Below are 25,972 nucleotides of genomic sequence, written 5' to 3'. Positions count from 1 at the left end.
CTTTGTTTTGGCCAATTTCTTCCATCTGGAATGGCTGTATTTACCCAATGCCTGTACCCCCATTGTATCTAGGAAGTAACTAACTTGCTTTTGATTTTACAGGCTCATAGGGAGAAGAGACTTGCCTTGTCTCAGATGAGACTGCCTTGTCTCAGATGGGACTTTGGACTGTGGACTTTTGAGTTAATGATAAAGTGAGTTAAGAATCTGGGGGACACTGAAAAAGCATGATTGGTTTTTAAATATGAGGACATGAGATTTGGGGGGGGGCAGGGGCAGAATAATATAGACTGGCTGTGTCCCCACCCAAATCTCATCTTGATTTCCTACGTGTTGTGGGACGGACCCAGTAGGAGGTAATTAAATCATGGGGGCAAGTCTTTCCCATGCTGTTCTCATGACAGTGAATAAGTCTCACAAGATCTGATGGTTTTATAAGAGGAGTTCCCCTGCACAAGTTCTCTCTCTCTTTGCCTGCTGCCATCCATGTAAGACGTGACTTGCTCCTCCCTGCCATCTGCCATGATTGTGAGGCCTCCCTAGCCATGTGGAACTGTAAGTCCATTAAACCTCTTTCTTTGGTAAGTTGTCCAGTCTTGGGTATGTCATTATCAGCAGCATGAAAATATACTAATACAGTTGCTATCTCAGTCAGATTTTTAAACAATGCATCATGAATCACAGTGCAACTCTATATTGTGAAAGTCATATAATTGTAGTATGTTTCTTTAAATTTTATAGAGTGATTTTATACAAACTGAAAATAAAAGGGTCAGTCTGTTTGTTTGGGGGCAGCAGGAAAAGTGATAAGAGCTAGAACTAAGGAGGAAGGAAACTATCAAGGGATTGAGTAGATGAAAACAGCAGAGAGGGAAGTATCTAACAACATTGTTCAATGCTGGGTTGAGTGGTACAGACTGAAAGCTTTTTAAGAATTTATTGATAAAAAGGCGTCCTACAAAAGGTAAAATGAAATGTTGAACTTTAAGACAATATTGGTAGAATCTCCAAAGTGAGGAAAGTGTTTGCAGAAGAAATGAACAAAAGCCTAAGTGAAATACAAAAAGATAAGTCTACTAATTTGTAATAAATAGACTATAAAAGAGCAAAAACAAATTCTTTTATCTTCTTTCCTAGACTCCTACCGTTGTTCATTAATGTTGTTCAGCATATGCTCCAACACCTCAAGCAATCCTTCAGTTAGGGGTTCCTGAGCCATAATACCTGCCTTACAGAAAGGACTGAATTGAAGATAGAATCAATATTGCAGGAAATAAGAGAATAATGTGTGTTCTAGAGCACTAGAAATAGTATTGGCCAAGTATTAAAAAGTAAAACATTGTTTGGAAGATGCTATGCTTTGTTAGTGATGCTAAGAAAGAAATAGAACACTATTGACAATCATAAGTTAAGGAAACAAAATGGTAAGTGTAAGATTTAAGGAAGGGATAACTACAATGGGTTAACAATATCCTTGAAAAAAAAAGCGGGGGGATTGGTAAAGGCATAGAGGTAGGAAGGGAAGCCAATCTAAACAAAAACAACTTATTAATGATTAGACCAATCAGAAAAGAAAGGAAGGTAGTAATGAAGTGATATACTTTAAATAAAGTAAACACATGTGATACTTTCAAAATAACAGAAAGATTAAAGAAGATGCCATGATATGGATTCTCAGTAACATAGGTACATAAATTATAAAGTTCAGAGGAAAAAAAAACAGTACTTTTCTTATTTTAGAGACATGTTATAAACCTTGTTTTTTACTTTGCTCATGTTGTGTGGCCTCTGAATATCTGCCCACTTATTAAATAATCTTACAAAAAAGTGATCTTTTTTTTCTTAATATTCTCCCTTGAGCATTGTGATAAAGGGGAAGTAAATACCGATTATTGTCTTAATTTGTATACTTAAATTTTAAATATCTGAGTCCACTAAAAGAGATTGGTCATTCTTTCATTTCAAAATCATAAGTTTAGTTTTTACTAGTGTTGTCAGATTTAGCAAATAAAATTAAAGGGTATCCAGTTAAATTTGAGTTTAAGATAAACAGCAAAGCCAATTGTTATAAGTATGTCCCAATTTTTTTTCAAAAATTTGTAATCTTTTTAATCTGGCAGCCAATTTTCAATGAATAATGTTTTCAGCTCAAGAACAGCAGACAAAATTATTAAATATCTCTTATGTTAGTGTTTTTCATAACTGAAAAATGGACATATGGGACACTGAGTCTAGCTGTGATGTTCTTGTCCCTGAAGTTATGACAATGAATAATAGTAGATTCATTCAGGTTAAAAAATACTCGAGATCTCTGGACTTGAACAAAGATTATATAATTAAACCACTCATATTTTTTGACTGTAGAAGGACCTAACTAATGCATGTATTAACCCAGTATTTTCAAGTTTTCAAAGAATACAATAAATCTATAATAACATTTCTAATATTTCAAACTTTAAATAAGTCATATTAAATAAAATACATAAATCAGTCTCCTAACCTTTTAGAAAAATCAAACGAGAAACAAAAAATATCCCTCTGGGCAGCATAATTAAATTTTCTTTGGTTCTGAATTGCTACTTTTAAAAATTAAATATGATACGTTAGAAAATAAATAACTCCATAAATTAACCAAATACTTTAATCTTAAACATTAACTCACATCAAATGTTGACCCCAGATTGAGAAAATACGTAATATATTTTACTAAATTTAAGGATTATAAAATTATCTTGTCCACTGTCATTTTACAAGTGAGAAAACTAGAGAGCACAAATATTTAAAACTGTTGAGATTCCCTGAGCTTCCTCTAAAGTATCACAACCACGTGGAAGTTCAAAAGGCCACTCTCTTCCGTCTTACCCACTCCAATCCAGGGCCTTCAATAGCCCATATGAACTTTTATGTAGAATGGAAAAATGTCCCCGCTTCTTAAATGGATGAATAAGAAGAATATCTGCCACATCTATCAACTTAGTTGTTCAGGAGATGACAGGGAAGCCTCTGTAAGGAGAATATTCCCATCTCCTTTCTGGCCCATACTTGTTCTGAGCAAAAAGTTAAGCCAGAAGAGCACAGGCAAAATTTCAGTTCCTGTTTGTCCTTTGAGAAGATGCTTTTATGCTATGCACAAGATGCACCCCTATCCAAGGTGACTGTGTACTCATTGTTGGTTCCTTTGTTAAGATTCTCAAGTTCATACTGTTTTCCCAAGATTTTGTACAACCAACCTATTGGTTTACTTGTTTTTCTGTCCATGGTAGATTTGTCTTCAGTGGAATGTCAGGAATTCTTTTCTAACCACCATAGTGGTTCTTCCCCTCTATTCCTACTGAATGCCCCTCCCTCGGCATCTACTGACTATACCCTAATTATACATGGTCACATGCTGGCCCTTTTGATGTTACAGTGCCTCATTCCTATTCTTAAAAAAAAAATGAAACTGTAAGATATGCAGCATAACAGGTCTACTTCCCTTTAATTATACTAATAGTTATCAAGGAATTTTTCTGACCTAAATCTGTGCTTTCCTATGTTTTCTTTCACTTAATCAAATTATTATAGCATCATATTAATACATGGACATGACTTCCATGATTAATTATGTGTTAATCACATAATTAATGTTGAATATGTGTTATATTAAAACAACTATTAGCTTATATGAAATAGTTTCCAAATTATAACACATTATTTTAATTTAAAAGTTTAACTGTTATTTTTAGAACATTCTATAGCTTTCTGGAGGTGTCAGTTTCATCTAATACAAAATGAAACACATTTTCTCTCCTTCTGGGCATCCAGCTATATTACATTTCTTACTTTCCCTTGCAATTAGTTGTGGTAATGTGACAGAGTTCTAGCCATAGGATTTGAAGGAAGAGATGGAAGCCATTTCTAGGCCTGGTCTATAACACACTCCCAATCCAGAAAACTTGATATTCTTTTCCCTTTTGTTAGATTGACACAGACTAGCACTGTGATCATGGAGACCACTTTTCAATTACAGACCCATGTGTTAGAAGGATGCTAATTCCCCAAATCACAAATTGGAGAATAGCTACCTACCTATCAGAAAAACCTCTTTTAGACTTTATTTGAACATGAAATAAGCATCAATTATGTTTGGGCTATTATCATTTTTGGATTTGCCAGTTACAGAAACTAACATTAGTTTAACTAAAACATGGTCTTCATCATAAAATTAGACTATAAGACAGGAATCTTAAGCAGTGATGGGCATAGGATTACGTGTACCTCAAAAATTGTTATATTTAATCCTCATTTTATGGGAAACATTTTCTGGGGAACACAGCATTAAAATAGAGAGTAACAATTTTTTTTACTAGGGTAATGCCAGACTTTATTGATTGCATTTTAGGCAGAAATGCTATGCAACACAAATCTGGAATTTGGGAACTGGTTTAAGCCTCAAGCTGGTCAAAAAGTTATCACTGAGAAAATATGTTCAAATGTTTTATGAATCTTTGAAAGATTAACTTTTCATATACTCTAGGATTCAGTTTCCTGTTGACCCCTGGTGTGAGAAGTATATGCTTTGTCTCAAATGCATCTGTCTCAATTTTATAGGCCTTTATATCTCGGTGTGCTGCACATGTGCCCTTTCACTGATGACACATAATAGAACCTGGAGTTCAGTTTGAAATATATAGAGATTTTCTGTTTTGAGGACAAAGAGGTGATTGTATTCAGAAAATAGTTGCCAATAAGACTATTAAATTCAGAAGAGTTAGAAAACTTAAGTGCTTAAAGATGGATATAGATACAGATGATACAGATATATCTCCAATGAATAATTCAAAATAACCTTACTTATAACTTACAAGGCTGAAGGCGTGAATAAAAATACTACAGCGTATAATTCATTTCCATAGTTAGGCTTTTCCCCAAAAAATAGCTTTTAAAAGATTGGACAATATTTTTAACTTCATCTAATAAATTTTGGATGATATTCTAATCTAAAATTTTCAACAATATACGAACAGTATTCTTAAGACTGAATATTTACAAATTATTGTATGCCTGCACCCAAGTTAAGCATAAGGACAATGCTGGAAACTTTAGGAAGACAGATTGACATTTTCTAATATCGAAAATCAGAAATTACATCTGCTATTATCTGTCATTTCTGGACATTGAGTCAATGTTAAATTCTTCTTCTTCATTTTTAAGAAAAATAAATGGAGAGAAGAAAAGACTGCTTTGGAGAGAAAAAGCTTGAGCTCATGTATTTGGCTAATGATAACTTACAAGCCCACTGTATTTCACCATGAAACAAAATGTCTGGCACTTTTGCAGCATACTGGACATACAATAAGTGTCCATGGACTAAGTAAATGGATTAGTTCCCAATAACAAAAATAAAATAAGGCTTTACAATTATTTGAATTATTCATGGAAAACCACATAAATCCTGAAAAGGAGAATACTCATATTTTTGAACTTTTAAGCAAAACCAGACAAATTTGCTAGAAGTACTGTTGATCCTCAAAGAAAAGGCAATATATACACATATAATACATAACAGTGAAAATTTAAAAATAATTTTCAATTTTAAAAATATATTTCTGGAGTTATATTCTCATTACTTTTTTATAAGTAATACTTTGGTACACTTCCTATTATCAGGTAACAATACTACATAAGTAGTTTGTAATTATTACCTTATTTAATGGTTGCAACAACTCTATGAGGTACACAGTTTTCCTCATTTTTACAAATTAAGACTATTTATTTTACTTTTCTAAACAAACATATTGTGCTTATTAGTGCTGGAAAGCATGCTAAACATTTTAGAAGTATGAACTTGCTTAACCATCATAATAACCCTCGGAGGTAAGGACCATGATTATCTACAATTTTCAGATGAGGAAACTGAGGGGCAGAAAGATGAACTACTTTGCACAAGGTCTTACTGCTACTTGGTGGAACAGGAATTCAAACTGGGACATTCTGGCGCCAGACCAACCCTTCGAGTGGTAAAGTTAATTGTCTGAGAAAACACAGCTCTTAATTGATGAGTAAGATTTAAACTAAGGTCTACCTGCAGCATCACCATCAGACTCAAGGAAAAGGGTCCCCTGCCCTGGCCCTGTTTTTAGAGGGTCTCTCTCTAGTCCTCCTCTCACCAAGCTTCTTTCTATGCACTTGGACCTGATGCCTTCCTTTTGGAACCATACTGCTAGCAACTAGCACCCAGAATTGCCCCTGCCAGCTGAAGCATGCCTGCCCCTACTTTGAGGTTTACTGATGTCTCCAAAGAACTGACTGCACCATCAGATATGACCCCCAGGTATGACAAAGCTTGGACATGTATGCTAAGGGCTTCTGTACATATGTATAAAAAAAACTCTGATGGTTCAAGACACATCCAGAGTCGGGGAGGAATGGAGGTGGGTCATAGTCCAGAGGCCAGCAGCCATATCTCTTCATGCTTCCATGTTTCAGTGCAGAACTCCAAAGAGTTTGAGCATTCTAAAGGTAAATATGAACATCCAGGTATTGTGAAGAATATTTATCAAGTGAAAAGATAAGATGTAATTTATTAGTTTCTTTCCTTCTTCTTCTTCTTATTTTATTTTTTTTTTTTTTGAGACGGAGTCTTGCTCTGTCACCCAAGCTGGAGTGCAGTGGCACAATCTTGGCTCACTGCAACCTCCGCCTCCTGGGTTCAAGTGATCTCCTGCCTCAGCCTTCCAAGCACTTGGGACTACAGGCACGTGCCACCACACCTGGCTAACTTTTATTTTTAGTAGAGACAGGGTTTTACCATATTGGCCAGGCTGGTCTTGAACTCCTGACCTCGTGATCCACCCACTTTAGCCTCCCAAAGTGCTGGGATTATAGGTGTGAACCACTGCGCGCAGCCTCTTTTTTTTTTTTTTAACAGAGAGTCTTAATCTATTGCTCAGGCTGGAGTGCAATGGCGTGATCTCAGTTCACTGCAACTGCCACTTTCTGGGTTCTGGTGATTCTCGTGTCTCAGCCTCTCAAGTAGTTGGGGTTACAGGTGTGCACCACCATGCCCAGCTAATTTTTTTGCAGGGGCTATTTTTAGTAGAGATGGAGTTTCACCACATTGGCCAGGCCGGTCTCAAACTCCTGGCCTCAAGTGATCCACCTGCCTTGGCCTCCCAAAGTGCTGGGATCACAGGCTTGAGCCATCATGCCTCGCCTGTATTTTATTAGTTTCTTAGCTTGCAACACTTCCCCATTTAGATATATGGCATGTGACCTCAATTTGAACTTTGGCTAGGCCCTACAATTGTTAGGATTGGATTAATCTATTCTAGAAAACACTCATTACTAAACCTTATGCTATTTTGCATCTTTGTATGTGGATATAAAATGTGAAGATAAAAATGATTGAGTACAGGATTCTCGCATTTCCATGGAAAGATGAAAATTTTCTTCCCTGAAATGTATCCTATCTTTTATTGAAACTTTATTATTTAGACGTACAGAAGAGTCAATAATGAGGTGCTGAGAAATTTTGAAAATGGTGATCCGAGAACAGCCATAGCAGGATTGGGACTAGGGTAAAGCCTGAGGGGCAACTAAGGTCTGGAGTTTGATAAGACACTTCCTCAAATGTTGTGCCCTAGGCATCTCACCCTCAACCTGGCTCTGAAAATTGGCCCTGGATTCCACCTTAGGGATTTCTAGATTTATTGCCCTTTGGTTGCTATCTTAGTCCATTTGTGCTGCTATAACAAAATACCTGAGACTGAGTAATTTATAAAGAACAAAAATTTATTTCTCACAGTTACGGAGGCTAAGAAGTCAAAAACCAAGCATCTGCAGGCCCAGTGTCTGGAGAGGACTTGGTCTCTTCTTTCAGGATGACACCTTGTTACATCCTCACATGGCAGAAGGCAGAAGGGCAAATGGGGTCTAGCTAATTCCCTTCAGCTTCCTTACAAGGTTGCTAATATCATTCATGAGGGTTCCATCTTCATGACTTAAAGACCTCCTAAAGGCCTCACCTTTGAATACTATCATATTGGGTCTTAAGTTCCAATATATGAATATTGGGGAACACATACATTCAAGCCATAGCAGAAGCTACCACCCCTTTTCTAACCATTTATTTAGGCTGAGAAAATAGAGTAAGTTGAAGTTTCTACACTGCTTCACAAAGTATTATTTGTGCAGTCTGACAACTAAAATACCCTTCTTGCAAATTTCTGTGATCCTGTTTTTGTGGATGGCACCAGAACTTTTGATAGATATTCCACCATGTTAGCGATCCATCTTCTTTAAAAATTTTAGCAACAGTAAAGAAACAGTATATCATTTGATGTGAAAAATGCTTCCAATTTACAATAACATATAACTTCAGAAGAAATCAATGTTATATTAGCTAAGAGTTTAGCAAGAATATATGAAAAATAACAGTCAACCACACTAAGACTAGCCATAAAGAAAAAAGAAGAGGCCGGGCGCGGTGGCTCACGCCTGTAATCCCAGCACTTTGGGAGGCCGAGGCGGGTGGATCATGAGGTCAGGAGATCGAGACCATCCTGGCTAACAAGGTGAAACCCCGTCTCTACTAAAAATACAAAAAATTAGCCGGGCGCGGTGGCGGGCGCCTGTAGTCCCAGCTACTCGGGAGGCTGAGGCAGGAGAATGGCGTGAACCCGGGAAGCGGAGCTTGCTGTGAGCCAAGATTGCGCCACTGCAGTCCGCAGTCCAGCCTGGGCGACAGAGCGAGACTCCGTCTCAAAAAAAAAAAAAAAAAAAAGAAAAAAGAAGAAAAGACAATTACACAAGGCCAACCTCGCTTCTTAAAAATAGAATTTCCAGGAAAAAAATCTTTTTTATTATGTTATTATACATCCATTTTGAAAAATGGGCTTTGAAAAGCCTAGTCACACATGAGTAAAAAATGATGCTTATAGCGAACCCAGTAGTAGATTAAAGCCATACACTTTGTGAAAGGAAAAAACTATTATTGAAAAAGTTCAGAAACTTTTTGTATTCCATTAAAAAAGTTTTCTATCTGACCATTTTTAATAACTTTTCTATTGGAAGATTTTTATATTATGAAGGTAAAATGGAAGTGTGGTCATATCTAGTTCTTTAAAAATGCTCCAAATTATATAGGGAGAGCTCAAACAAGAAACCTAAATCAGATTTCAGCTTTTTCTCTCCTTGTAGTCTTTTTTCTGGACACTCTGCTATTACATGGTCCACTTCACCTGTCTCGTTAGAGACGGTTGCACTGATGTTGAACGACACCTGTCTTCCTAAGTCTTGGTCTTTGCAATAAGGACTCATCACTCATCTTTTAGCAGTGGGTCACATAATATTTATTTTATGATGCATCCTTTAGAAACAACTCTCTCTTTAAAAAAAAAAAAGCTGATCATGAACATAAACAACAGTTGATAATGAGGGAAAAAAAAGAAAGGAAGGAAGAAAGGAAAGAAGGTAGGAAGGAGGGAAGAAAGGAAGGAAGGGGGAATAGGAAGGAAGGAAGGAAGGCAGGGAAAGAGAGGGAGGAAGGGTGAGAACATAATCAACAAAGTTGCCTCTTCCTCAACACAAAATATGTATATAGGAGAGTGCAATCAGTCATTTTGATATCTTATCTATACAATCCCCAGAATCTGCATCTTTGTATAAGTTAGATTTTACACATTTTTTTTTGAGATGTAGTCTTGTTCTGCCACCCCAGGCTGGAGTGCAGTGGCACGATCTCGGATCACTGCAACCTCCGCCTCCCAGGTTCAAGCGATTCTCCTGCCTCAGCCTCCTGAGTAGCACGGATCACAGGCATGCACAACCACGCCCAGCTAATTTTTGTATTTTTAGTTGAGATGGGGTTTCAACATGTTGGTCAGGCTGGTGTTGAACTCCTGGCCTCGTGATCCTCCTGCCTCGGCCTCCCAAAGTGCTGGGATTACAGGCGTGAGCTACTGCGCCCAGCTGATTTTATATATCTTTTAGTAAACAATGACCAAGGCCAAAGAAAATGATATGTGGTATAAACAGAAAATTACATTCTGACACCCATAGAAACACATGGAAATGAAAACAAGTTTAGCACATTTTCTCCAAAATCCTTATTTCTATTGTATTATGACCTACTATTCAAAAAATGAAAAATTCTAAAAAGCTGTTGCTTTTTTAGATATAATTCTAAAGAGTTTGACTAACTGTATTTTCTTACCAAATCAACCAAGTTGGGCACTAGTTAGTATTGCTGATTACAACTTCAAAGTGTTAGTGGATATATGCTAATTGAGGAAACATTGGAAAAGTCTGTGTTCCAGTGTGAGATTTGACAGGTTAGGATGACAAAAGCACTTTTGAATGGCAATAGTTAAAATGCATTTGGGAAGTATTGGGGAGAAAAGAGTAGTTGAAAAATGTCATGTATTTTGTTTTTCTTTCATTTTCCTTTGTTAAAGTATCATATAAGCAAACTTTTGAGCATATAGAGGAATTTTCTGAGTCAGACTCTTAAGGAGGAAATGAAATAATAATAAATTCATATGTGCTTTAAAAAGATATGTAGTAGCTAAACAATTTATTTTTGGAAATAAATGTGTCCAACAACACAATTCAAGACATTTTGAATTTTCCCCCTTAACTGTGGCCAATTGACTTCTCTTTGGGATCAAGTTAATTCATCAAGTTAATTCACACTGATGATGGTACATATGTGCAGTGAATTTCAATAATTTTATGTTGCCTTCACATCTATTTTGAATAGAGGTTTCACTTTCTCATACCAGAAGCAGAGTTTAGTCATCCTTGACACAGTTTCAAGTGCCCTGCCTCACCCCAGGTCCTCAATGTGGCTGATCGGATATCTGCCTTATACAATCAACTCCTGGTGACCACCTTCCTCTGAAACATTTAGATATAATGTACTTGACTTGCTCACTGACCCCCACACTTGACATGAACTGTGCAGATATACTGTAGTGACAACCTCTCAAGTGTGACTCAATGGATCACGTCCTGTATTAGTCTGTTTTCATATTGCTATAAAGAACTACCTGAGACTGGGTAATTTATAAAGAAAAGAGGTTGAATTGACTCAAAGTTCCATATGGCTGGGAAGGCCTTAGGAAACTTACAATCATGGCAGAAGGCAAAGGAGAAGCAAGCACCTACCTCACAAGGCGGCGAGAGAGAAAGAGAGAGCAAGAGTGAGTAGGAAACCACCATACACTTTAAAACTGTCAGATCTCATGAGAACTCACTATCACGAGAAGAGCATGGGGAGAACTGCTATACTGCCCAAAACAATTTACATATTCAACATAATCCATATCAAAACATCAATGAAATTCTTCACAGGTATTTTTTAAAAATCCTAAAATTTATGCAGAATCACCAAGGACCCCAAACAGCCAAAGCAATCCTGAGCAAAAAGAATAAAGCTGGAGGCATCATACTACCTGACTTCTAAATATACTACAAATCTATAGTAACCAAATCATTATGGTCTTAGCATAAAAACTGATACATAAACCAATGGAACAGAATATAGAACCCAGATAAAAATCCACACATTAACAGTTAACTCATTTTTTGACAAAGGTGCCAAGAACCTGCAATGGGGAAAGACAGTCAGACAGTCTGTGTAGTAAATGGTGCTGGAAAAACTGGATGACCATATGCAGAAGAATGAAGACAGATCCTTATTTCTTACCAAATACAAATATCAAAATCAAAATGACTTAAAGATTTAAATGTAAGACCTGAAACTATGAAACTAATATAAGGATACTGGGGACATGTTACAGGACATTGCTCTGGGCAGAGATGTTTTGCATGGGCAACAAAAACAAAAATGGACAAATGCAAATATATGAAATGAAAAGGCTTCTGCACAGCAAAGGAAATAATCAACAAACTGAAGAGATAACCCACAGAATGAAGAAATATTTGCAAACTATTCATCTGACAACCAAAATATAAAAGAAGCACAAACAACTCAGTAGCAAAAAAATTTAAATAATTTGATTAAAAAATAGGCAAACGATCTGGATAGACATTTCTCAAAAGAGGACATAAAAATGGACAACAGTTATATGAAAAAATGCTCAACATTACTAATCATCAGAGAAATGCAAATAAAAACCACAGTGAGATATAATCTCACCCCATTTAAAATGGCTTTTATCCAAAAGATGGAATAATGAATGCTGGTGAGAATTTAGAGAAAGTGGAATCCTAGTACATTTTGGGAATGTAAATTAGTACAGCTGCTGTGGGAAACTATATGGAGGTTCCTCAAAAAACTAAAAATAGAACTACTCTATAATCCAGCAATTCTCCTACTAGATAGATATAGATATAGATGTATATATATACACACATATACTATATATATGCACATACTATATATATAGTATATATAAATACATATAGAGTATATATATAAAATAAATCAATACATCAAATAAATATCTGCATCCCCACGTTTATTGCAGCACTATTCACAACAGCCAAAATATGGAATTAACCTAAGTACCCAATATGAATGAAGGCATAAAGAAAATGTGGTATATATATATACAATAATATATTTTTCAATGATGAAATGAACAAAATCATGTTATTTGCAGCAACATGGATAGAACTGGTGGACATTATGTTAAGCGAGGAAAGCCAGGCACAAAAAGATAAATATAGCATGTTCTCACTCATATGTGGGACCTAAAAAAGTGATTCTCATAAAGATGCAGACCAGATTGGTAGTTACCAGGGGCCAGCAAGGGAAGTGGTGGATAAAGAGTGGTTGATTAATTGGTACAAATACACAGTTCAATAGAAGAAATAAGACCTACTGTTTGATACATCAGTAGGTTGAATATGGTTTATAATAATCTATTTTATATTTCAAAATAGTTGGAAGGGAATAATCCAGTGTTTCTAACATAAATAAAAGACAAACATTAATGCTGATAGATATTCCAACTATATTGATTGGACATTTGCAATTTATATGAATGCATTAAATTATCACATGTATCCCCAACATATATACATCTATTTTTATTCATTTAAAACTTTTTGAAAAATATGAATTTTAATAATAATATATTAATGAACTACTGGTGAATTAAAAAACCACCTTGGATTGAGCTTGTCACAAAGATCACAGAAATAGAAGGTTTTGTTAACACTTTTTTTTTTTCATTTCAATCCCTGACCCCTACTGGCATCCTCAACTCCAATTCCCTGATTCTCGTATCAAAATTTGGGTGCTATAATATTTCTTAATATCCCAAATCACTAAATTTACTACTAATAATAATAGCTAACACTTACATAAAGCTTACTATGTGCCAGGTACTACTCAAACATTTTAAATAATTTAAATATGGTAAGAGCTCTATGAGATAAATAGTATTCTTCATTTAAAAAAGTAAGCTCTTTGTTCTTTTCTCCAGTTATCAGTATCCCCATATTTAATTCAGTTATGTATTCATTCAACAAATGCTTTTGGTCCCTGCTCAGTAGAGGGCACTATACTGGGCACTGAGAGAACAATAGCAAATACACATTCTCTTTCTTCACAGACAGTATGATGATCTAGTAGGGGAGAAAGGCGAATAAACCAACAGCCACAGGATGAGTTCGAATAGATGTGTGCAAAGAATGCCTTAGAACCACAAATTGGGCATCTGAACCAGACCAGGAAGATCTTGAAAGACTTTTGGTATAAAGAACACCTCAGCTGAATTCAGAAAGATCAAGTAAAAGTTAGAGAAATAAGTTTGTGTGAGCAACAGTATGTGTGTGTGACAGTGTGTGTGCAACTGTGTGTGTGTGTGTGTGCGCGCTCATGTGCACTCACAGGCATGCACATGTGCATATGTAGCAGAATAGCATTCCAGCCAGGGAAAATAAGATGTGTAGCAGCATTTTTGATTATTTATAAGCAACATTTTGACCTGTAAAAAAATGTAATTTTGATGAGACGGAACTTTTAATCAAAAAGCTGCTGGGAGGGGGTAGTTACTTAGCTAGCAGAAGAGCCTAGCTTACTGCTCAGCAGCCATATACGAAAGATGTTATTTTTTGTCCATGCTTATCTAGTTCATCATAAATCTTATTGTGAGATAAAAACATACTTTATGGGTTTATGAAATGTATAATTCTAAGACCGAGTACCTAGCTAGCTGACTGTAAAACACACAGCACTTCAGAGAGACAGGAAATCTCAGGGCCATGTAAACAGAAAATGAAGTCATTCTCCAATAGTAAACAGCTATTTGCACATGGGAAGGAACTTAAGCCTCATTATCAATACAACTGATAAAGATTGTTTCTCTTCCTAAAGGGAATCTTAAGCAAGTACACAGAAGGCCATAGGATTAAAATAACAAGGGACATGGAGAAGATGATAAGAACATCTAGAAAACTGATAGAGAAATCATTTCCTTAACCAGTTTTGTGAATGGATTTCATCAGTTTCTCAGGAAAGAAGAGTGATTGAAAATTAAAGTAATTAACCTATTTTGTGTAATAGTTTTGTATGTATGAATATTTCTAAGTTAACTCTGTTGTAACCAGCATAGTGTCTTCATTCTACCTTGTGAGTTGAGCCAATCATTAGTAAAGCCTGAGTTGAAAAAAATGTTGTATTTACTTGGATCATATAGAATTCTTCTAAATTCTGCTGCTAAACCTGTAATGCCAGAGTAGACAGATTTGGTAAGGAGAATTTTAAAATGAGTGCTGCCTACCGTCCTTCCAGATTTTCTGTATGTACCTGGCTCGTATTTCATAAGTATAAAATGTAACATAATATGTACAGTTGAATTAATTAACAATAGCATGATTTTTATCTGGCCCAATTCCAAATGAGCTTGATGCTCAAAATAAAAGCACAATTACAATAGACCTAAATAATAGACATAACAAAATAAGGTGTATAAAACTTGAGCTGACAAGATGTGAAGAAAATCAATATTAATTTATTCTCTTTGAGAAAATATAAAGTGCAAAACTTAGCCATGAGCTTCCAAGAAGGGATGACAACAATAAAAAGAAATCAATGTAAGTATGCTTTAAGTGGAAAAAGTTCGGATTCATTGATAGGATTGGAAAGCTTCTCTTATTTAAAAATTAATGAGTTGTTTTTATATAAAATTATTTTTGGCATACATTTTGCCTCCATCCTTTGAAATATCCATGAGCCAATAGATATGTTTGTGGATGTCCATGTGGGTTTGCAGCATTTCCATTTTTTTCCAAAGCACCTTAGAAGTTAGTTTTTAAAAATAAATGTGGGTTGCAGACAGTTGAGATCACTAGTTTAGATAGAATATGAACTAATATGGTTAAATTTTTGTCATAATGGATAAAATTCTATAAGGTAAGGTCATTTATATTTTTCTGCAGTGAAAATGTACTGTTAATTTTTATCAAAATTTTGTGTAATATGAATTATAAAAATCACTGAAGAAAAATTACTTTCTGTGCTACCTTTACATCAAATTATTATCATTATTATTATTGAGAGATATAGTCCCTCTCTGTCACTCAGGCTGCAGTTCAGTGACATTATCATAGCTCACTATAACCTTGAACTCCTGGGCTTAATTATCCTCCCACCTCAGCCTCCCAAGTAGCTGGGACAACAGGTGTGCACCACCATACCCAGCTTGCTTATTTATTTATTTATTTATTTATTTATTTATTTATTTATTTATTTATTTTTGTAGAGACAGGGGTCTCCATATGTTGCCCAAGCTGGTCTCAACCACCTGGGCTTGAGCAATCATCTCTTCTCAATCTTGCAAAGTGCTGGGATTACAGGTATGAGTCATTGCATCTGGCCCACAATTTTTAATAAAAGAAAAATTATAGTCTGGGGTACTTTTACATCAAAATGACTTTAATAAAAGTATCTTTTTCAATATGTTTAATAAAGAAAGAAAAGGTAAATTCAAATTTATTTATATTATTGAATAGCCTTCATATTACCAGGTATCCAATGGCTGAGTTTCTCAAGCTAGTGCAAAAAATACACTATGCATGAGTCAACAGAATAACTATGGAACATACCTGAAGTATAATATTTTTCTGGAAGATTTCAGAGCAATTAACCTTCTAGGAAAACAAGGTGTGTGTTAGAGTAGATTAAAACATCTGCATGATCTATTCAGTCAGCATTCTAGACTTCAAGGCCTATGGTGCCATTGATGAGGCAAGTCAGATCACATTTGCAGAAAATGGTGGGCTTGAGGAATGCCTAAGCAGGATGTGGGATCTTCTTATAATGTCCTTTCTCCACCACCCCCAGCCAGAGAAAATGAAAATAATCAATGCTGCTCTTTAAGAGATATCATAGACGAAAGATAACTGGAAAACTCTTATTTATTTTTTATAACATACAATCTAAGGAAAAAAAAAATCTTCTTGCCTCTTTCTCCAACCATACTGTTTCCCTAAGCCTCCCTAAACCACCAGCTCCCAGAACTCTTGTGTGTGCATATTTACTTTTCTCTACAGAAAAAAAAATAGGAAGAAAAAATTTAAGATACATGATCTTAGACTATATGACCTTCAAAAGCAAGAAATTGATCTGATTCCTCTGTGTGTTCCCATGACCAATGGGGTGTCTGAACTCAATAAATGTTTATTATAGTGGACTTTCCTCAATTCTCTTACCTTAAACGTCCCAAACCCCCAAAGAATACATAAACCCATTTCTAAACTTTTCACAAAACAAAAGCTCACAAAGAAATCTTAAATGTAAATGTTTTCCTTTCTTATCGGCTATTTCAAATGAGAATTTTACTGGCAATTTGTCACTTTGCGAAGCAACTACAGGAACTCAGAATAGTTCAGGGTCTATTCAGAAGTTCTTTGTTAGAGAGGCTTTCGGGTGTCAATCTAGTTGGAGGTGGGAGATGGGGAAACAGGAGAAGTTGCATGATCACAACTAGCACGTTGTTCTTGCTTAGAATCCCTGTTTATTTGGGAGGACCCACCACAAATATAAATTAGTAGTACATTACATACAATAATAATAATAATGTTTTTATAAGTTACTTGAAAAGCCAGTAATTTAGAAGAAAATCACAAAGACAGAAGCCTAAATGGAATAAAAATTTATTTTTTCTAAAATGTTTTAACTATCAAAATTAGAAAACTATACCATTTATAATTACTAGAATCTAAATTTTACACAAAAATTATCTGAGTAAAGGTGAATTTTTTTAATTTAAACTATGTCTTACAAAAGATTGTTTAAAAATAAAACCATTCACAGTTCTATTCATTTTCTTGTTGCCAGTGTAAATAATACATGCACTACTGCATAAGCATTGTTTGTATACCTACATATATACAAATTTAAGAGCAATCTGAATTCTTTAATGTTATAAAATGTCCCATAGTTTCCATGTACAATGGATGTAAATAGTGTGCTAGATTGTGAGTAATTATAATTACTTTGGAACACAAAGACAAGCAAAAAAGTAATGAACACAGCATTATTGTGAAGACATAATTATGTATGTAAGAATCATTTGCATTCAGACTGTCTTAGAGAACTAATTTGACAGTTTAATTAATCTGTCTTTTCTCTTAAGCAAGCATTTCTGCCTCTCAAATCATCTTTGCCCTCTAAAACAATGTGTTATTAACATTAGCAGTGGCAAAAGCCATGTATCTTCACTGTACATGTGCCATCATCTTTTATTCCAAGAGCATACACAGAAAAGTATTTCCCTGGGACCTGGACAGGATTATTTACAACAGTTCTGACACATAAACACCTCTTGCCCTAATCTAAGAATATCTGTATATTATAACTTTGTATTAGAATTCTGCCAAAATAATATTCTCTTTTGTTTGTGTCTGTCTCTCACACTGCTGGCCTTCTAGAATTCCTAAACCCTAACTACATAATGCCTGTGGCACTTTCAATCATTTAGGCAAATGTTCTCACAGATTTTCTAAATACAGTCAGGAGGTTATAAAATTCTCATTGGAAAATACTACCTAAAGTTAATCATTAGAATAAGAACTGTAATAATTTAGACACTAATGTTAATGTGGCTTCATTTGAACAAAAGCTGGTGAGACTTAAATTTGGGTTAAAGCTTTAAGAAGGATGGAGTCAGTTATCAAGACTTTTGTAAAACAAAGAAACTGTTGCTAATCAGTGTTATGACATGGTTTCTGTGTTAACCAAGCAAAACTTTATCTTCAGTGGGATTACAAAGTACCAGTAACTCATTAATTATTGCTTACCAGCTTACTTTTACTACTCTGAAAACATGTAGCTCTAAGTAGTCAGGTACACAGAATGTACATGTCTCTCCTTTTTGCATGGAAGATGCGTCACACTAATCAAACATGGAAGATGTGTCACACTATTCAATCCAGGCACACCTTCCTGATAAACATTATGGATCCTCTGTATTCTTCCCAGACCCACATTCTAGGTACCCAAAACTAGATGACCTTGGAAGAACTTGAGATGAAATTTGTTTGCCATTGATTTTGAGATAAAGATGAACAAGCTGTTAATGAGGTAGTAGTGTAAATAAAGGAGATTTTTAAGTTCATTTGTTACATCTCAAAAATCTCTGTAAAAAAATGGTAGTACAGGTCTAGGTATTCTGAAGTCACCACAATAAAAATAAAGGACAACAATAAAGCACCAAGGGCTTTACTCTCTGGCAGGAGATTACAGTTTATCTGGGAGGTATGTATTCAGTTAACAAGCCTATTCTAAAACTCCTTTTCAGAAAGTTTGCTTACATCAAAATTACTGAGATAACATATGCTCCTGTTTCAAGTAAGATGGAGTAAATGCATCCCACTCTATCTTTCCTACTTATTGCAACTATAAAATGTGCACAGAATGCATTATGCAGCCATTTGACAACAGTGAAAAGCAAACAATAGTTGGCAGACTCAGGAAGAAGATGAGTATTTGAAGTACTGCCATATCATAGGTGAGTTTACTTGAGTGTTGGGGGGGTGGGTGGCGGTGTGTGTGTTTCTATTTGGTATACCACCCAATCCCCCCAGGCTTGGAATCCCAGCCTGGATTCAATGTAACCTTAAACTTGGAACTGCATAGTGATGTGGATAGAGAGAGCTCCACAAGGATCCTTCTGATTCTGGCTCTAGTAGCTGCAAATGGGTTTCATAATGCAATGCTGAGGGGTGGAGGATAGGGAATCCCTTGTGTATTTGTTTGTTTTTCTGTTGTCTCCTGTATCAGTCCTCAGGCAATCCTGAAACAATGGGGCTCACAGGACTAAATCTCTGAGAAAAGATAAACTCTTCGGAATAGAGGAGCAGTGGTCCCAAGAGGGTGAGACAAGCTCCTATTTCCTTTTGTTCTCTGTCTTCCTGTTGCTTGGTCTTGAATGAGGGCATACTCATGGGAAGTGTGAAGCTAAAGGAAGATAAATAAAACCTGGCTTTCTGGCCAGAGGACAGATAAGAGAAACCTAAGGGAACCAGAAAGGGCTGGAGAGATCATAGAGAGGAAAGAGCTCAGGAAAGCAACCTCATAAAGTAGTAAGCTGTGCATGTATAGATCTGACACTAAATAGCATATCAAAGACATTAAGATCTAAACTAAAGAATAGATAAGTGCCAAAGTCCCATCTAGCCATTTACTGGTGCACACATGGAACACATAGGAGTAGCACTACAAATGCTTTGAAAACATAACTGACACTGAAACCAAAACTCACAAAAAGCAGGTTAAAATGTATGACCTGAATACAACTGGGTAAATTGTATACTAAAACAAAAATACCAAGCTAAGCACAGTGGCTCATGCATATAATACTAGCACTTTGAGAGGCTGCAAAAGGAGGATCCCTTGAGCCCAGGGGCTTGAGGGCAGCCTGGGCAACAAAGGGAGATCCCATTTCTATGAAAAAATTGAAAAAAAAAAATACATACAAATCACAAAAAAAACAAGTTTCATATCATGTTTAAAATTTCCAAGAAACAAGCCAAGATCACTTAGCATACCCACAGCCAGGAAAATCACGACTCGCATGAAAAAGGCAATTAACAGAAACCAATGTCTAGGTGACAAAATGTTAGAATTATCAGGAAAAAGACTTCAAATTTGCTTTAGAAAAATGCTCTAAGAATGAAGGACTTCAAGGGCCAGGAGCAGTGGCTCATGCCCATAATTCCAGCACTTTGGGAGGCTGAGGGAGGCATATCACTTGAGGTGAGGAGTTTGAGACCAGCCTGGTCAACATAGTGAAACCCCATCTCTACTTAAAAAACAAAAATGAGCCAGGCCTGGTGGTGCATGCCTGTAGTCCCAGCTACTCGGGAGGCTGAGACAGAAGAATCACTTGAACCCAGGAGGTGGAGGTTGCGATGAGCCGAGATCGCACCACTGCACTCCAGCCTGGGGGACAGAGCGATATTCCATCTCTAAATAAATAAATAAATAAATGGAATTAAGGATTTCAAACCCTTGAAATAAATGGATACATTAAAAATATCAGTAATAAATTTTAGATATAAAGAACTAAATGAAAATTTTAAAACAGTAAATACAATAACTGAAATGTAAAAACTCACTGAATGGCCTTGAAGGCAGAATGCAGATTTCAGAGCAAAAAACCTATGAGCTTGAAGACAGATGAATAGAAATTATCCAATCTGAACAACAGAAAAAAAAAAAAGTGAGAATAAAAAGAGATTCAGGAACTTGCAAGATAGTAACAAAACTTTTAACACGCATTGAGGTCTCAGAATGAGAAAAGAAAATACGATGTGCAAAAAATTTTTCTTTTAAATAATGTGCGAATATTTTCTAAGTTTGACAGGAAACAAGAAAAATTTTAAAAAGCTCAGTAACCCCAAACAAGAGAAACCAAAATAATCTATATACAGACACATCACAATCAAACTGCTAAAAACTAAAAAGAAAAAATAATGTTTAAAGTAGCCAAAGAAAATGGACACATTACCTCTGTAGCAGTGATTCTCAACGGGTCTGATTTTGTCTTCTGAAACAACCCAGGGACATCTAGCAAAGTCTAGAGACATGTTTTATTGTGATGGCCGGGGATAGGTGCTACTGACATCTAGTGGGCAGAAGCAATGAATGCCTCTAAGTTTCCTGCATTGTACAAGAAAGCCTCCCACAAGAATTTCTGGCCCCAAATATCAGTGCTGCTAAGGCTGAAAAACCCTGCTTGTAGGAAAACAACTATTCAAATGACTGAGAATTTCTCATCAGAGATTGTAGAAACCAGAGTGAAGTGGAAAAACATTTTTAAAGCACTGAAATAAAAAAGCTATCAGTCCAGAATTCTTTATCCAGTGAAAATATCCATCAAGAATGAAGATGAAATAAAAACATTGCTAAATGAAAGAAAATGAAGAAGTTGTTGCCAACAGACATGCCATAAAATTATATAAAAATATATGTCAAAAGTAGTAATAATAAATTAAATGAAATATTAAAGGTGTTCAAATAACCCAAAGGAAAATAGAAAGGGGAAACAGACAAATGATGAGCAGACAAAACTAAAAAAAAAAACGTAATAGAGTAAAAGAAGCCAGCCTTACCTGGGCACGCCTGTAGTCCTATACTGAGGAGGCTGAGGCAGGAGGATCGCTTGAACCCAGGAGTTCAAGGTTACGATTAGTTAGGATTGTGCTACTGCATTCCATTCTGGGCAACAGAGCAAGACTCTGTCTCTAAAATAAAATAAAAAGAAAGCAAAGTGAAGTAAAATATTGTTTAAGAAAAGAAGCCGGTCTTAAAGATTACATAATAGATGGTTTCATTTATATAATTTTTTTTGGCAATAACAAAACTATAGTGCTAGAGAACCCCTCAGTCATTATCAGAAGTTAAAATTGGAAGGAGGGTGTACTTGGAAAGGTATTGCAAAAGGGAATTTGGAGAGGTGATGAAATTTTTCTCTATTTCAATCGTGGTGTTGGCTACTCAGATCTATATATGTGTTGAAAGCCATAGAACTGAGAGGAGGTACCAGCTGGGCCTCCTGGGTCCTGCAGGGGCTCAGAAAGCTGTGAAACGCACTCATTTCCTACTTCAGGACTTACTTCAGTCCTGGATGAATAATATTGAAGATATATGCTTAAAATATTCCTAACACCAGGATTTGTGCATGTGTTTTCTTCCCCAAGAAAGCTATAAACAGCGAAAATTTTACTGTAAGTTTCCCTGTGTCCTCTCTCCCTCTCTCCCTTTCCCCTCACCGAAACTAAAGTAAAAGAAATGTTAACTACCCGTTTTTCTGTAACCAGCAGACCTTATCTATACTCCCAATTCCAATTCCTTGTAAACATACTTTGTAAGGTCCTGTAAGATCCTGTCTCCTTTGCCATGCCGCTGCAAGGTCAGAAAGTAGATAAAACCTAAGTTGCAATTCCGGTTTTCCTCAAAATCTAAGACATGTCACAAAATAATTTACTGCCTTTGTTTCTCGCTCTGGTAACATCTTCCTGCCACACGTATTTCCTGCCTTAAAGAGTTTAAAAGGCAATCACCCAAAACCAACAGTGGCTACCCATTCAGGACCCCTTCCATGCTGTGGAAGCTTTGTACTTTCACTCTGCTCAATAAAGCCTACAACTTTTTCTTGCACTCTGTCCATGTCTCTATCACTCATCGTGATCAGCTGCCACACCAATTCTTTGGCATGGCCAGGCAAGAATCTTAGGCATTACAGAACTATACACAAAAAAGAGTCAATTTCATTATAACATAGTCTATAAAAATAAAGATCTTTGAAGAGAATATAGTCTTTGTAGGTAGTAGAGTATTGAAAGCACAATTTTAGACTAAGGATTTTTTTTCCAAATCGGTAAATCAGTTCACAAAAAATAAAAGATAACCATTGCAAATGGCTCCAGGGCTTAAATATTTTTCCAGCTGTTAATATAAACAATAATATAATACCAAATGATAATGCAAAAATTGAAATAATATTCAGATACAAAGGCAAGCATTTTTGTACCTTTCTCATACATTTACATGTGGGTTGGATTTACACATTATATAAAAAATTCAAGAGTATTTTTGTATATTTATTGGCCTCTTCAAATTCAAAACTTTTTAAAGCACTATTGTCAAGTGAGAGAACAATATGGCAGAATAAAGAAACCATCATGTGGGCATTCAAACTCTTTCTTCCCAGCTTTATTGAGGTGTAACTGGCAAAATAAATGTATTTATGTAAGGTGTATAAGGTATATTATGTGATTATTAGAAATACATATATATGTGTATGTGTATACATACATATATATATATATATATAGTGAAATGATTACCACAGTAAAGCTAATTAGCACATCCCTCATCTTTCACAGTTACATTTATTTATTTATTTGGTGGTAAAAATACTTCAGATCTAATCTCTTAGCAAACTCTTTGAAGCTGTAATTCCACTCTCAAGAATACTTCATATGGGAATAATTTACAGAAGTATAACAAAAAAGTAAAAGTATTTCATTTGCAAATCACTTATAATAGTAGAACTGTAAATACATAAAAGGAAGGAAGGAGAAAAAGAAGGAAGAAAGAAAAAAACAGAAAAGAAAGAATGAATGAAGAAAATTAGGTGAGGCATGGTGGCTCACACCTGTAATCCCAGCACTTTGGGAGGCCAAGGTGGGCAGATCATGATGTCAAGAGATCGAGACCATCCTGGCCAACATGGTGAAACCCCGTCTCTACTAAAAATACAAAATTAGCCAGGCATGGTGGCGGGCGCCTGTAGTCCAAGCTACTCAGGAGGCTGAGGCAGGAGAATTACTTGAACCAGGGAGACAGAGGTTGCAGTGAGCCGAGATCGCGCCACTGCACTCCAGCCTGGTGACAGAGCAAGACTCCGTCTTAAAAAAGAAAGAAAATTAGACAGTCAAATATATGCTCAGTAAAAAACATTTGCTAAACTATATCAAAAAATACGACATAAGCATGAATAATTATGTACTCTTTCAAGATATAGTAGAGCTGCTTATAATATGGCTTCAAAATTAGAAATATGATTTCAAAATCAGAAATGGTGTGGAAATAATGACTACAACTATCAAATGCATAGGCATGTGGATTAGAAATCAACTTTCATCTGTGAGTGAAAATTAATGTCATCAGGATAGCAAAGTTATGAAAGGGTTTCTCTCTGTTTTGCAGTAGTCTTCAATTTGCTATATTTCTTTCCTCAATCATAAAAGAAAGTGCTTCCATTTAGAATATATATAGGTGAATAATTTATAAACCTGCACACAGGAGGTTATTCTCTACTAAGATAATTATGATCACTATAGCAGTTTACCTTTAAATAAATCTTTAACAAAGAGTGTCTTAGGAGACCCACAGACAAGACAGAAATTTTTAGTAAAAAAGTAAATAGATTTAAATAATGCAATTTATTATATACAAAATTGACTTAAAGAAATATTTGCCCATGATAATATATATGCGATAGCACATCTGACAGCAAAATAAAGCCATGAAACACTAAGTAGCCTAAATGAATGAATGGATAAAACACAATTTTAGCTACTTTTATTCGAGCTCTATCTCAACATACTATAAATTAAGAGAAAGAATGAAGAAAATTCATTCCCAGAGGTTTGTGAAGAGTGTCTTATACATGTGAAAGTGATAACTGATATACAAAGATTAGTCAAACTTTGTGAAATAAAAAGACTAAAATCCAGAACAGAAGACTGCAATTAAATATATGCATACATTCATGAATAAAGACTCTGATAACCCAGTATTCTGTCTGAATGTCCATTGTCTAAATGTCCAGTTACACTCAGTTATTATGTTTTTTCTCTCTCTCTCTCTATTAGTCCTGTAGCTGATAAAATAGTTTATCTTTATGACTCTAGTTATTATGCTTTAGTAATTTATATTCCCAGAGCTTGTACTTGTTAGGCAAATCAAGAAATCATAAAGCTTTAAGAGCCATTTTAGGTCTAAAATGGAAGCAGCCCTAGTCCAGCATGTGATTCTATACTACCTGGTGAGACGTCTGAGCTTGGGTTACTTTAGGTCACTGGTCTAGAGACCCATTAGGTCAGAAGCTAAAGCTAAATGGGGCTAAGTATTGTCCAGTTGTGTTAGTGATGACCCCTCACAAAAGAAAGGAAATGAATAATTATCGAGCTTCCATTGTGACCTTTCCATTCTTCATATCAATTTTCCTGAACAACCACTGTCTGAGGTAGGTATTATATTCTTTATTTTATTTTATTTTATTTGGAAAAGGAAACTGACGATCAGTTTCTTACATTTTCCAGGTTCACTTGCTCCTAAGGGAATAAAACTGGCTCTCTCCCTCCTAATTGTTTCACTTTTATCTCATTCTCTCTAAATATTTTTGGTTTTTGTTCTCCTGATTTATAACACTCGCAGATATCAACAACTAAAACCATTTTTTAAAATACAATAAAAGAAAACTTATGAATACCAGAATGTCATATCAGAGTTTCTAACTGGACAAAACCAAAAAGGCAGCCTCACATGAACGCTTTTGGTAGAGAAGGATAAAGTACAGATGGCAGGAGCCATAGGATAGAGGTTTCAACATATTCTTTCTGTAGAAAAACCATATTCCAGCTGTGAAACATACTCGTGTTTGGAGATAGAAGGCAAAATGAAAGGCATAAACCATACTTAGAGTCAAAGAGAATCATTTCTGTCCCTATATGTCCTTTTATTCTTGGCAGTTGCATAGAGCAGCTGAATGAACAATATGTTCCAGCTGCACACAATGGAGACATCCGTGGCAGGTGCAGCACAGGTATGTCATGTCTTATTTGTTAATTATTAAACAAAAATATAAAGAAAGATTGCAGCAGTAGACTGAAATAAACTGATGATCAAAATATTTTAATAATTTATTTTCTTCCTAATTTACTCTTTGGTAAATAGTGCTTTTGATATTAGTGCAGGTCAGCAAAATAGCATAACTAAATTATG

The 25,972-nt window shown here is 35.5% G+C and overlaps 2 long non-coding RNA genes across 7 annotated transcripts in view, besides 1 other annotated feature; both read right to left on the bottom strand.

The window, feature by feature from the left end:
* LOC124902646 (uncharacterized) overlaps nucleotides 1-21,383 on the bottom strand; it is a 187,361-nt gene extending 165,978 nt beyond the window's left edge. The window contains exon 1 of the long non-coding RNA XR_007062623.1: nucleotides 20,967-21,383. This is a non-coding gene — a long non-coding RNA (uncharacterized LOC124902646). The remainder of the gene's footprint in view (nucleotides 1-20,966) is intronic.
* Nucleotides 1-25,972, bottom strand: part of LINC02718 (long intergenic non-protein coding RNA 2718) — a 376,384-nt gene that overhangs the window by 263,578 nt on the left and 86,834 nt on the right. For all 6 annotated transcript variants that reach the window (NR_187208.1, NR_187205.1, NR_187209.1 and 3 more), the window contains exon 4: nucleotides 21,571-21,702. This is a non-coding gene — a long non-coding RNA (long intergenic non-protein coding RNA 2718). The remainder of the gene's footprint in view (nucleotides 1-21,570; nucleotides 21,703-25,972) is intronic.
* Nucleotides 19,057-19,568: an enhancer, noted in NCBI's record as "NANOG hESC enhancer chr11:22944198-22944709 (GRCh37/hg19 assembly coordinates)". NCBI's record gives its function as "activates a minimal SCP1, AML or CMV promoter by ChIP-STARR-seq in primed H9 embryonic stem cells {active_cell/tissue: H9 hESC(primed)}" and the evidence as "EXISTENCE:reporter gene assay evidence [ECO:0000049][PMID:30033119]".

This window comes from Homo sapiens, chromosome 11 (assembly GCF_000001405.40).
Source record: "Homo sapiens chromosome 11, GRCh38.p14 Primary Assembly".
NCBI lineage: Eukaryota > Metazoa > Chordata > Mammalia > Primates > Hominidae > Homo > Homo sapiens.
This window is presented reverse-complemented; position numbering and strand designations above follow the sequence as displayed.